The following is a 14,642-nucleotide window of genomic DNA, read 5'->3' on the forward strand; positions in this document are numbered from 1 at the left end:
TACTTTGATCAATATTACATATTTATTTAACAGACAACATGAGATTATAGCCCAGATCTTCTGACTGACAGCCCAGATATCCAGCAGGCTTCATAGGGGTACAGAATATTTGCCTGGTGAGGTATATAATTCTTCAAAAAACTTTATGCAAGCGTGTAATGCTAGCACATTCCAAACATATTACATAACATGGGTTAACACTTATCTTTTATGGAGATAATGAGTTAAATGCTATTTGAGAGGCCACTGAAATTCAACGAGTATTTATTGAGTGCTCAGTCATGTTCGGTATTGTTCTAGATACTTAAGTTTCATCAGTGAATGAAATGAAAAATACCTGATCATATTTGTTTACATTCTAGTGGGTGGAAACAAACATTACACAATAGGTACAAGAAGTGGGCAAATTCTACGTTAGACACTGATAAGTGCTACGATAAAAAGAAAGTAGAGCAGAGTGAGCTTGGGAGTGCCATTTTGGCGCCTGGCGGGCAGGTCAGTCTCATTGAGGAGGTGAGGTAGTAAGCTATGCATATAGGAAGGGAAAGTGTCCCAGGCAGAAGGAACAGCCAATGCAAAATTCTGAGCAAGTTCTCTTCCTTAGAATATCAGGTTGAAAATCGTCGACAAAGTGGTTCAATGCTCTAATCTGTTTTGCCCAATTCAATCAATTGTGCAGAAATTGCAGGTGACTTTTATATTAATGATTTGAATCATGGGACTGAGGTCCCTTCACTACATTTTCAATTTATTTGGTAGTGGTGGGAGTTGGAAGGAAGAGCATCAAAAGGGGAAGAGGTGGTGCCTGGGCATCGATGTTTTTAAAAGCTCCTTGGGTGATTCTAATATGCAGCCATGGTTCAGAGCCACTATTCTGGTACAGGTGGGAAAGAGAAGGGTGTTTTTTTTGTTGTTGTTGTTCGTTTGTTTGTTTTTCATTCCTGTTCTTAGTAGTCTGCTCAATATGCTCATCAGGCTTGCTGCTCGAGTTGTCACCATCTGGAACTCCAAAACTACAAATCCCCTTCACAGAAATCCTGGGACCTCCCGTCAACCCCACTGGAGGTGAAACACAGGAGAGGTCATATTTCTTCTTTATGGCTCCATTTGTGAGTTCCCCATAACACCAACAAACAAGACTGTGTATGGGTGTGAGACGACTGAAAAAGTTGTTAGAGAATGAGAATGTAAGAGGAACGGAGAGAAGAGGGTAGCAACATGGTTGGCATAAAGTGCCTAGCAAAAAGTTTTAAGAACAAGTTTCTCTAATATTCAATTTTAAATCTGGCACTGTGGTGACAGAAAATATCTCACGTCCTCAAATCTTCAGTAAAGTCGTTTCATTTACATGTGTTTGGCAAACAGTAAGTGTCTGTTAGATGAAAGAACAAATGAACTCAAGGGGGCGAATGCAAAAAACAACAGGCCCCCAACCCAACCCTTTCCAATGCCTCCAGTGTTTTTCCCAGAGGCAACCACATTTACCTCATTGTTTTTAGTTACCCCATCTGTAAACAATCTGCTCATGCTGTGAATTTTTGATGTCTCAATCTTAGATGTTGCATACTCACTTCCTGCCAAGATAGATGAAGATTTAACTACATTAAACCACCACAAATTTTCCCTACTCATAACAGCTAATAAATTATATCACTAGTCAGCATTGCACTTATTACATTTGCAACTTTAAATAATGTAACTCACAGTTCTTGCTTCAATATAAACAATCCCTCTTCACTTTGCCAGATAAGAATTTTGTATCCCTTACCCTTGTCTTCATCTTTGGTTCCTTTATTACACTATCATGCTTCACATTTACAACCTGTTTTGTAACTATAGTTAAGCAATTCTTGCTTTGCCTACAGGTGGACTGTATTTTTGAAAATCAGTAAAGGCTATTTATGCTACATCTGTGTAAACAGTATTCACTGTCCATGAAAGTTACCTTCTATGTCTCTATTTGTTTTTTGGTACAGCTTTTTGTCATATACCCTACTCAATTAAATTATAAATTGCCTTTTTACTTTGTCTTGAATTGTCTTCCTTTATGGCATCATTAGACTAGATTCTTCCAACATTTCCAGAATACTAGCAAATCCAGGAACTCCTTTTTTTCTACAGGCAGTTCTTACAGTCCTGAAGTCTTTCAATCTGGATAGACAGGCTTCCTGTTGCATAACTATCCTGGAACTTGCGTTCACTGCATTTCTGAATTTGTTCCACTGTTTCACAGACCCAATCCACTTCATTTCCTTCAACAAGTCCCTTGTTTTCTTGGCCTGTATTCTCAAGAAACATCCTAAAAAAGAATATTAGTGAGGCAAAGCTTTCTCAAAAGTTTGGGTTTCATTTTCTTTTTCATTCTGCCCACATTATTTTATCAATAGTTTGGCATGGTATAGAATTCCAAGTTCAGGAGGCGTGGTGGCTCACACCTGTAATCTCAAATCTCAATATTTTGGGAGGCTGACGAGGGAGGATGGCTTGAACCCAAGAGCTCAAGACCAGCCTCCGCAACACAGCGAGACCCTGTCTCTAACCAATTTTTTTTTTTTAGGGGGAGTTTTGTTCGTGTCTCCCAGGCTAGAGTGAAATGGCGTGATCACGGCTCACTGCAACCTCCGTCTCCTGGGTTCAAGGGATTCTCCTGCCTCAGCCTCCCAAGTAGCTGGGATTACAGGTGCCCGCCACCATGCTCAGCTAATTTTTATATTTTTATTAGAGACGGGGTTTCACCACGTTGGCCAGGCTGGTCTCGAACTCCTGACCTCAGGTGATCCACCTGCCTTGGCCTTTCAAAGTGCTGGGATTACAGGTGTGAGCCACCGCACCCAGCCCTGTCTCTATAAAAAATAAAAAAAATTAGCTGGCATGGTGGCTTACGCCTGTAGTCCCAGCTACTCAGAAGGCAGAGAGGGAGGATCACTTAAGCCTAGGAGGTCAAGGCTTTAGTGAGCCATGACTGGGCCATTGTACAGCAGCCTGGGCAACAAAGTGAGACCCTGTGTGGACCAAATTAAAAAAAGGAATTCTAAGTTTAAAGTCATTTCTCCTAGGAACTTTTAGGGTTTCTTGTATCTTAACACTCACTCAAAAGTTTGTTGCCAGCCTGATTCTCATTCCTTTATGGAGTACTTGAACTTTCTTCCTAGAAGCTTTTAGAATCCTCTTCATTCTTGCTATCCTTAAATTTCATGATATATCTATGTATATACATATTTTTCTTTTTTCTGTTCAGTACTCAGTAGGTCTTCTACATTTGCAGAATCATGTTTCCCTTTAGTTCTGAAATTTTTTTCTTATTAAGCAAGTTTCATCCAACCACTTTCTCTTCTCTAACTTTCAGGAACTTCTACTATTCTGATGTTGAAAATGTAAATTCTTAGGATTTATCTTTTCTTTCTCTGTTGTTCTCTACTTTTCCTCTTTTCTTTAATCTTGTAGTAATGCAAATTGAGCCTACCAACTGACCTTACAGACTATGAGACAGAGAAATAAATCTCTCATGACTCATGTTTATTCTTTCCACTTAGTTAAAAGGTTTACCCAATATCAGCCCAGCTGGGTTTAGTGGGTGAGTGCTACCTATGACTGTGAGTATTCATTCCTACTACAAGTCAAGATTCATTCTCAGTGCTGTGTATATAACAGTGAACAAAGAAAAAAATTCCTGACTTCTTGAACTGACTTTGTAGTAGAGGGACACAGACAATAAAAAATTAAAATGTTGCATGTCCAGTATAATTCTGGAGTCAGCAGCTGTAGCTGCAGTTTTCTGATTTTGTAGGCAGCTTTTTGTTCAGAGACAGGCAGCAGCTTCTTTGGTGGCTTGCTCTTATAGTGTGACTCTAGGAATTTTTCTCAGAGTTCTATGTTTCTTCAGCCCTCCTATGATTCAGCAGAATATGTAATACTTGTTGAGAAATTCTTTTTATCTTTAAATTATAGAGCACATAGAATGATTTCTATGAATTCTATTCTCTGTAACTGAACCTGACTGCTACAATAGTCACAAAAATAAATTGTACTTTTCAGCAAGAAGCCTCCTTGGTATTTTTCTTTCTGTCCTCTGAGACCAAACTCTAGGGGCAAAGCTCATTTAAGTTCCCAGCACAGCCCCTACCTCAATTTTGTATGTACTCAGGGAAGCATTCCTACTATTTGCCATCTAGACAGATAATTTAACTGATGAGAATTCCAAGCTGACAGCTAAACGGAATACTGTACCAAAAAGTATCAATGAGCACTTTGGGAGGCCGAGGTGGGCAGATCACGAGGTCAGGAGATTGAGACTATCCTGGCTAACACGGGGAAACCCTGTCTCTACTAAAAATACAAAAAATTAGCCGGGCGTGGTGGCCGGTGCCTGTAGTCCCAGCTACTCGGGAGGCTGAGGCAGGAGAATGGCGTGAACCCGCGAGGCAGAGCTAGCAGTGAGCCAAGATCGCGCCACTGCACTCCAGCCTGGGTGACAGAGCAAGACTCCATCAAAAAAAAAAAAAAAAGTATCAGTGGGCTTGAGGATTATAAATCTGAAAGGCATATGAGCTTCCCAGAGCTTCAGGTTAATAAAGGAGAAATATATGAATGTAACCAGGTTAAGCCTAAAATTTGATATACCCACTTTACCATTTGATCTGCAAATACTGCAAGAACACTCAAAATGAAAATGAAGACCTCAAGCAAAAATTTATGTATGCTACTTATAAACATTCTGAAAGTGTCAGATACTATGTTTACTAGAACCCCCTGAGTCTTACATTGTCAAATTATGGCCTTTTACAACAGGGCCAATGACAGATTTGCGAATTTATGAAATACAACAGTTTATCCTGAATAGTTTACATTAGAATTATTTATTTGCTTTTGAAAAATGCATAAACATACTATTTTAGTCACCTCAGGCTGCCATAACAAAATACCCTAAACCGTGCGGCTTAAACAACAGGAATCTATTTTCTCACAGTTCTCGAGGCTGGGAAATCCAAGATCAAGGATTGGTTGATTGCCCCCCAGTTTGCCTCCTGGTGAATACTCTGTTCCCATTTTGTCGATTTCTTGGAGAGTGAGAGAGAGTGAGCTCTGGTGTTTCTTCATCTTCCTATATGGTACCAACCCTATCAGATTAGGACCCCACACTTATAGCCTCATTTAACCTTAATTATTGCCTTATAGGTCCCATCTGCAATACAGTCAACACTGGGGACTAGGGCGTCAACATCAGAATTTTGAGGTAGACACAGTTTAGTGCACAGCACATACTTCCAGAATTTTGCTTTTAGAAAATGTAAAAATATTTTACAATATTGATAATTGTAAAAACCTTTATTTAGTGATTAACATGAGCCAGGCACTATGATGTTTTATAAATGTTTTCTTATTTAATCTTTACAACCAATGAGATAAATTCAATTATCCTCATTTTACAGATGAGGAATTGATGCTCAGAGGTGCTAAGTAACTTAACCAAGATCACATGGCTAGTACAGTAAAGATTCCAACACAGACAATTCTCTTAGCTACTATGTTATAATTTAATGTATAAAATGCTGGTACATTATATATCAGTAAGAAGTGTTGTTCAGTAAGGATTTTACAACAGGTGACACTGGAGACTGAGAAGGTACCATGAACTGGCACGGTTACGTGTGTGAGATAAGCCCTACTGTAAATATACTACTGTGGGCACTGAAAGGAGGACTGAGTTCCTATCATGTAGGTATTGGGAGTTTTAGCTTATATACCAATTTGCACTCTCACCAACAGGATCTGAGTTGTTTCTCTACAATCTCACCAACTCTGGGTTTTATATTTAAATAAGACCCCACCTACAACTTCAAAATAAAAATATGAAAATATTGATATAACCCATTTGCTGTAAGAATAATCCTCTATGCAGTCATTGTGGCCTGCTTTAATCACAAGTCATCATGAAGTGCAAACCACGACAACAAGTTCACAAGGTTAAATGCAAAGCTAAGATTAAGGCTAAAATTTGATATGCCTGCTTTATTATTTAACCTGAAAATACTGCAACAACACTCAAAATGAAAACAAAGACATAAAAGAACAATTTATACAAAGATCTTGTAAACATTCTGTAAGTGTCAGATATTATTTAAATTATCTGGATTGGGGAGGAGGCAGAGCAAGATGGCCAAATAGAAGCCTCCACCAATCCTTCTTCCTGCAGGAACACCAAATTGAACAACTTGCCATACAGAAAAGTACTTTCATGAGAAACAAAAACCATGTGAGTGATCACAGTATGTGTTTTGAACTTCATATCACTGAAAGAGGCCCTGAAAAGGGTAGGAAAAATAGTCTTGCATTGCCAACACAACCCCTTCCCCATTCCCTGGCAGTGGCCCAATGGTGCCGAGACAGAACCCGTGCACTTGGAGGAGGAAGAGTGCAGTGATTGTGGAAACTGGCATGGGAACTCAGTGCTGCCCTGTAACAGTGGAAACCACCACCAGGCAGAACTCAGGCAGCACCCATGAAGGGATCATCTGGACCTGCCCTAGCCAGAGGGGACTCGCCCACCCCAGTGCTCAGAATGCATTCTGGCAGACCTCATACCACGGGCTAAAGTGCTCTGCGGTCCTAAATAGAGCTGAAAGGTGGTCTAGGCCATAAGGACTGCCATTCCTGGGCAAGTCCTGGTGCTGTGCTGGGTTTGGAGTCAGTGGACATGGGGGGCATGTGACCTAGTGAGACACCAGCTAGGGTAGCCAATTAGAGTGCTTGCACCACCCCTTCCCGTAACCCCAGGCAGCAGAGCTCCAAAGAGACACCTTCCTTCTGCTTGAGGAAAGGAGAGGGAATAATAAAGAGGACATTGTCTTGCATCTCGGATACAAGCTCAGCCACAATAGCAATAGGACAGGCATCAGGCAGAGTCCTGAGGCCCCCATTCCAAGCTCTAGCTCCAGGATGACATTTCTAGACATACCGTAGGCCAGAAGGGAACCTGCTGCCTTGAGGGGAAAGACCCAGTCTTGGCAGGATTCATCACCTGCTGACTAAAGAACCCTTGGGCCCTGAAAAATCTGCAGTGGTAACCAGGCAGTACTTGCTGTTGGCCTTGGGTGAGACCCAGTGCTGTACTAGCTTCAAGTGTGACCAAGCATATTTCCAGGTGTGGTGGCTACAAGGATAGACTATTGCTTGAGAAAAGCAGAAAGAAGAATAAAGGAACTCTGTCTTGCAGCTTAGGTACCAGCTCAGCCACAGTGGGGTAGAGCATCATGTGGGCTCTCAGGGGTCCCAGATTCCAGGCCTTGTCTCTTAGATGGCATTTCTGGACCTACCTTGCGCCAGAGAAAAGTCCAGTGCCCTGATGAAAAAGTCCCAGGCATGGCAGCATTTACCAAATTGACTGAAGAGCCCTTGGGCCTTGAACGAATAACAGCAGGTAGCCAGACAGTACTTGCTGCATGCCTGGGGTGGTGGTGGCCATGGGAAGAGACTCCTATGCTTGTGCAAAGGGAAGGGGAGAATGGGAAGAACTTTGTCTGGTGGCTTGGGTGCCAGCTCAGCCACAGTAGAATAGAGTACCAGGTAGACTCCTAAGGTTTCCAGCTCCAGGCTCTGGCTCCTACATGGCATCTCTGAATGCCCCCAGGACCAGGGGGATCTTTCTACCCTGAAGGGAAGGATACAGCCTAGCTGGCTTTGCCACCTGCTGACTGTAGAGGCCTAGGACCTTGAGTGAACCCAAGTGGTAGCCAGGCAGTGGTTACCGTGGGCCATGGACGAGACCCAGTGCTATGCTGGCTTTAGGTCTCACCCAGTGCAGTAACAGTGGTAGTAGCCACAGAGGAGCTTGTGCAACACCTCCTGCAGCTCTAGGCAGCTCAGTGGAGAGAGAAAGACTCCATTTGTTTAGGAGAAAGTGAGGGAAGAGAACAAGAGGCTCTGCCTGGCAATCCAGATAATTCTACCGGATCTTACCCAAGATCACCAAGGCAGTATCTCTTTGAGTCTGCAAGAGCCCATAGTGTTACTGGGCTTGGAACGCCCCCTAATCCAGATACAGCTGCGGTGGGAAAAAAAATTAGATCACAATACTCAAGTGCTTCTGAATAACTGAAAAGTCTTCCCAAGAAGCGTGAGTACAAACAAGCCCAGACTGCAAAGACTACAATAAATACCTAACTCTTCAATGTCCAGACACTGACAAACATCCACAAGCATCAAGACCACCCAGGAAAACATGACCTCATCAAATGAACTAAATGAGGCACCAGTGAAAAATCCCTGTTCCACAAAGACAGACATATTGCGACCTTTCAAAAAGAATTCAAAATAGGTGTTTTGAGAAATCTCAAAGAAATTCAAGATAACACAGAGAAGACATAGAGAAGGAATTCAAAATCCTATCAGATAAATATAACAGAGACTAAAATAAGTAAAAGAAATGAAGCAGAAATTCTGGAGCTCAAAAATGCAACTGACATACTGAAGACAGCAGAGCCATTTAACATCAGAACTGATCAAGCAGAATTAGTGAGCTTTGAAGACAGGCTATTTGAAAATACACAATCAGAGGAGACAAAGGAAAAAAGAATAAAAAACAATGAAGCACACCTACAAGATCTAGAAAACAGCCTCAAAAGAGCAAATCTGAGAGTTATTAGCCTTAGGGAGTAGGTAGAGAGAGAAATAGGCATAGAAAGTTTATTCAAAGGTTGTGCAGGATCTGCATTTTATGCCAAAGAAAAAAAAAGTTTATTCAAAGGGATAATAACATAGAACTTCCCAAACCCAGGGATAATAACATAGAACTTCCCAAACCCAAACTTAGAGAAAGATGTCAATATCCAAGTACAAGAAGGCTACAGAACACCCAGCAGAATTAACCCAAAGAAGAACTACCTCAAAGCATTTAATAATCAAACTCCCGAAGGTCAAGGATAAGGAAAGGATCCCAAAAGTAGCAAGAGAAAACAAACGAATAACATACAATGGAGCTCCCATATGTCTGGCAGCAAACTTTTCAGTGGTTACCTTCCAGGCCAGGAGAGAGTGGCATGACACATTTAAAGTGCTGAAGGAAAAAAAATTTCTACCCTAGAATAGTATATCTAGCATAAATATCCTTCAAAGATGAAGAAGAAATAAAGACCTTCACAGGCAAACAAAGCTGAGGGATTTTATCAACACCAGACCTGTCTTATAGGAAATGCTAAATGGAGTTCTTCAATCTGAAAGAAAAGGATGCTAATGAGCAATAAGAAATCATTTGAAGGTACAAAACTAACTGGTAATAGTAAGCACACAGAAAACACAGACTATCATAGCACTGTAATTATGGTGTATAAACTACTAATATCTTATGTAGAAAGAATAAAAGATGATCCAGTCAAAAAAAATAATTACAATAACTTTTCAAGACATAGATAATACAACAAGATATGAATAGAAATGAAAAAGTTAAAAAGCAGGGAGACTGAATTAAAGGGTAGAGTTTTTATTAGTTTTCTTTTTGCTTGCTTGTTTGTTTATGCAATCAGTGTTAAGTTGTCATAAGTTCAAAATAATGGGTAATAAGATGTTATTTGCAAGCCTCATGGTAATCTCAAATCAAAAAACATACAATGGACACACAAAAAAACAAAAAGCAAGAAATTAAAACATACCACTAGAGAAAATCACCTTCACTAAAAGGAAGACAGGAAGGAAGGAAAGAAGGAAGAGAAGACCACAAAGGAACCAGAAAACAATAAAATGGCAGGAGTGAGACCTTACTTGACAATAGTAACATTGAATGTAAAAGGACTAAAATCTCCAATCCAAAGACATACAGGGCTGAATGGATAAAAACAAGACACAACAATCTGTTGCCTACTAGAAACATACTTCACTTATAAAGAAATACATAGACTGAAAATAAAAGGATTCAAAAAGATATTCCATGAAAATGGAAACCAGAAAAGAGCAGGAATAGATATACTTATATCAGCCAAAATAGATTTGAAGACAAAAACTATAAAAAGAGACAAAAAAGCTCATTATATAATGATAAAGAGGTCAATTCAGCAAGAGGATATAATAATTTTAAATACATATCACCCAACACTGGAGCAACAGATATCTAAAGCAAACATTAGCACTAAAGAGAGATGGACTCCAATAGGATAACAGCTGGGGACATCTCAACACTCCACTTTCAGCACTGAATGAATCATCCAAACAGAAATTCCACAAAGAAACGTTGGACTTAATCTGCATGATACAACAAATGGACCTAATAGATATTTACATAACATTTCCTTAAAACATTCAAAAATGTAAAGTATAATAATATAAAGTATCTTCTCAGACCATAGTGGAATACAACTAGAAATTAATAACAGGAGGAATTTTTGAAACTATACAAACACATGGAAATTAACAATATGCTCCTGAATGACAACTGAGTCAATGAAGAAATTAAGATGAAAACTGGAACTTTTTTTGAAACACATGATAATGGAAGCTCAATATACCAAAACCTATGGAATACAGCAAAAGCAGTACTAAGAGGAAAGTTTATAGCTATATACTATTATCAAAAAAGTAGAAAAACTTCAAATAAACTAATGATTTACTTTAAAGAACTAGAAAAGCAAAGGCAAACCAACTGCAAATTAGTAGAAGAAAAGAAATAATAAAGATCAGAGCAGAGATCAATGGAATTGAAACGAGGAAAACAATAAACAAGATCAATGAAACAAAACGTTGGTTTTTGAAAAGATAAAATTGACAAACCTTTAGCCAGACTGAGGAAAAAAGAGAGAAGACCCACATAAATAAAATCAAAGACAAAAAAGGAGACATTATAACTAATACTGCAGAAATTCAAAGCATCATTAGTGGCTACTATGAGCAACTATATGCCAATAAATTGAAAAATCTAGAAGAAATGAATAAATTCCTAGACACATACAACCTACCAGAATTTAACCATGAAGAAATCCAAAAACTGAGCAGATCAATAACAAGTAATGAGATCAAAGCCATAATAAAAAAATCTTCCAGCAAAGAAAAGCCTGGGACCCAATGACTTCACTGCTGAGTTCTGCCAAACATTTAGAGAAGAACTAATACCAATCCTACTCAAACTATTCTGAAAAACAGAAGAGGAGGGAATATTTGCAAACTCACTCTATGAGGCCAGTATTACCCGGTTACCAAAACCAGGTAGACACATCAAAATAAATAAATACATAAAAATAAAAAATTAACTGCAGGCCAATATCACTGATGAATACTGATGCAAAAATCCTCAACAGAATACTAGCAAAGTGCATTCAAAAACACATTAAAAAGATCATTCATCATGACTAAGAGGGATTTATCTCAGATGCAAGAATGATTCATCATATGCAAAACAATGTGATACATCATATCAACAGAATGAAGGACAAACACCATATGATCTTTTTAATTGATGCTGAAAAAGCATTTGATGAAATTCAACATCCCTTGATGATAAAAACCCTAAAAAAACTGGGTATAAAACTCAACATAATAAAATCTATATACAATAGATCCACAGCTAGTAAGTATCATACTGAATGAGGAAAAATTTAAAGCCTTTCCTCTCATACCTGGGACATGACAAAGATGCCCACTTTCACCACTGTTATTCACCATAGTACCAGAAGTTCTAGCTAGAGCAATCAGACAAGAGAAAGAAATAAAGGGCATCCAAATCGGAAACGAAGAAGTCAAATTATCCTTTTCAGATGATGTGATCTTATCTTTGGAAAAACCTAAAGACTCCACCAAAAAACTATTAGATCTGATAAACAAATTCAGTAAAGTTGCAGATACAAAATCAACACATAAAAATCAGTAGCAGTTCTATTGCCGACAGTGAACAATCTGAAAAAGAAATCAAGGAAGTAATTCCATTTACAATACCTAGAAATAAAATTAATTACCCAGAAATTAACCAAAGAAGTGAAAGATCTCTACAGTGAAAACTATACGAAATTAATGAGGACACAAAAAAATGGAAAGGTATTCCATGTTCACAGATTGGAAGTATCCATATTGTTAAACCGTCCATATTTCCCAAAGCAATCTACAGATTAAATGCAATCTCTATCAAAATACCTATGACATTCTTCACATAAATAGAAAAAAAAATCCTAAAATTTATATAGAACCACAAAAGACTCAGAATAGCCAAAGCTATCCTGGGTAAAAAGAACAAAACTGGACGAATCACATTACCAGGCTTCAAATTATACTACAGAGCTATAGCGACCAAAATGACATGGTATTGGCATAAAAACAGACATAAAGACCAGTGGAAGAGGGCCCAGGCACAGTGGCTCATGCCTGTAATGCAAGCATTTTAGGAGGCCGAGGCGTGTGGATCCCTTGATGTCAGTTTGAGATCAGCTTGGCCAACATGGTGAAACCCTGTCTCTACTAAAAGTACAAAAATTAGCTGGGCATGGTGGCTCACACCAGTATTCCCAGCACTTTGAGCACTTTTGGAAGGCCGAGGCGGCACTTGAGGCCGGGAGTTCGAGACAAGTCTGGCCAACATGGTGAAACCATGTCTCTACTAAAAATACTAAACTTAGTCAGGCATGGTGGCACGCACTTGTAATCTCAGCTACTTGAGAGGCTGAGGAAGAAGAATCGCTTGAACCCAAGAGGTGGAGGTAAAAGTGGGCCGAGATCTTGCCACTGCACTCCAGCCTGGGTGACAGAGGCTGACTCCATTTCAAAAAAAAAAAAAAACAATGGAACAGAATAGAGAACCCAGAAACAACTCCATATATCTGCAGTCATTTTCGACAAAGGTGCCAAGAATACACATTGGAGAAAGGACGGTCTGTTTAATGAATGGTGCTGGGAAAACTGGATAGCCATATGCAGAAGAATGAAAGTAGACCTCTATCTCTCACCATACACACAAATCAAATCAAAACGGATTAAAGACTTAAATCTAAGATCTGAAACTATGAAACTACTAAAAGAAAACATTGAGGAAGCTCTCCAGGACATTGGGCTGGGCAAAAGAGTTGCTGAGTAATACCCTGAAAGCACAGGCATCCAAAGCAAATATGGATAAATGTGACCACATCAAGATAAAAAGCTTCTGCACCGCAAAGGAAACAATCAACAAAGAGACAATCCACAGAATGGGAATAAAATATTTGCAAACTATCCATCTGACAAGGGATTAATAACCAGTATATATAAGGAGCATGAACAACTTAATAGGAAAAATTATAATAATCTGAGTTTAAAAAGGACAAAAGGGCCAGGCACCATGGTTCCCACCTGTAATCCCAGCACTTTGGGAGGCCAAGGCAGGAGGATCACTTGAGGCCAGGAGTTCAAGACCAGCCTGGGCAACATGGGCAGGCTGTTTTTTTGTAGAAACCCCATCTCTACAAAAAAAAAAAAAAGAAAAAAAAATTAAAAGAAAATTTAGCTAGGTGTGGTGGTGCACACCTCTAGTCCCAGCTACTCAGGAGGCTGAAGTGGGGGGATTACTTGAGCCCAGGAGTTCGAAGCTTCAGTGAGCTAGATCAAACCACTGCATTCCAGCCTGGATGACAGAGCAAGAACCTATCTCTCAAAAAAAAAAAAAATTTAAAATGGGCAAAAGATGTGAATAGACATTTACCAAAAGAAGGCATACAAATGACAAATAAGTATATGAAAAGGTGCTCAACATCACTCATCATCAGAGAAATGCAAATCAAAACTACAATGAGATATCATTTCATCATAATTAAAATGGCCTATATCCAAAAGACAGGCAATAACAAATGCTGATGAGGATGTGGAGAAAAGAGAACCCTTGTACACTGTTGGTGGGAATGTAAATTAGTACAGCCACTACGGAGAATAGTTTGGATATTCCTCAAAAAGCTAAAAATAGAGCTACCACATGATCCAGCAATGCCACTGATAGGTATATACCCCAAAGAAAGGAAATCAGTATATCCTAAGATATACTTGCACTCCCATGTTTATTGCAGCACTGTTCACAACAGCCAAGATTTGGAAACAACCTAAGTGTCCATCAATAGACAAATAAAGAAAATGTGGTTTATGTACACAACGTAGTAGCATTCAGCCATAAAAATGAATGAGATCCTGTTATTTTCAACAAAATGGATGCAACTGATGTCACTACTTTAAGTGAAATAGGCCAGGTACAGAATGACAAACTCTGCATGTTCTCACTTATTTGTGGGAGCTAAAAATTAAAACAACGGAACTAACAGAGAATAGAATGATGGTTACAAGGCTGGGCAGGGTAGTGGGGAATTAAGGGGCAGAGTGGGGATGGTTAATAGGTACAAAAGTATAGACAGAATTAGATCTAGTATTTGACAGCACGAGAGTGACTAGTCAACGATAATTCATTGAACATTTTAAAATAACTAAGTATAATTAGATTGTTTGTAGCACAAAGAAAGGATAAATATTTGAGGTGATGGATACTCCATGTACCCTGATGTGATTATTACTTATTGTATGCCTGTATCAAAATCTCATGTACCCCATAAATATATATACCATGTACTCACAAAAAATAAAAATTAAAAATTAAAAGAATTATCTGGATTGGACTGGCATAGCTTTCAGGAATTTATATGTTTATTTTTAATTTTTTT

General features: G+C 39.0%; 1 long non-coding RNA gene across 1 annotated transcript in view, besides 1 other annotated feature; it reads right to left on the bottom strand.

Moving 5' to 3' along the window:
• Positions 1-14,642, bottom strand: part of LOC124901974 (uncharacterized) — a 16,353-nt gene continuing 1,711 nt past the window's right edge. Inside the window, exon 2 of the long non-coding RNA XR_007061001.1 lies at positions 1-13,403. This is a non-coding gene — a long non-coding RNA (uncharacterized LOC124901974). The remainder of the gene's footprint in view (positions 13,404-14,642) is intronic.
• Positions 14,396-14,642: part of an enhancer, noted in NCBI's record as "NANOG-H3K27ac-H3K4me1 hESC enhancer chr8:90912677-90913442 (GRCh37/hg19 assembly coordinates)", that runs on past the window's edge. NCBI's record gives its function as "activates a minimal SCP1, AML or CMV promoter by ChIP-STARR-seq in primed H9 embryonic stem cells {active_cell/tissue: H9 hESC(primed)}" and the evidence as "EXISTENCE:reporter gene assay evidence [ECO:0000049][PMID:30033119]".

This window comes from Homo sapiens, chromosome 8 (genome assembly GCF_000001405.40).
Source record: "Homo sapiens chromosome 8, GRCh38.p14 Primary Assembly".
NCBI lineage: Eukaryota > Metazoa > Chordata > Mammalia > Primates > Hominidae > Homo > Homo sapiens.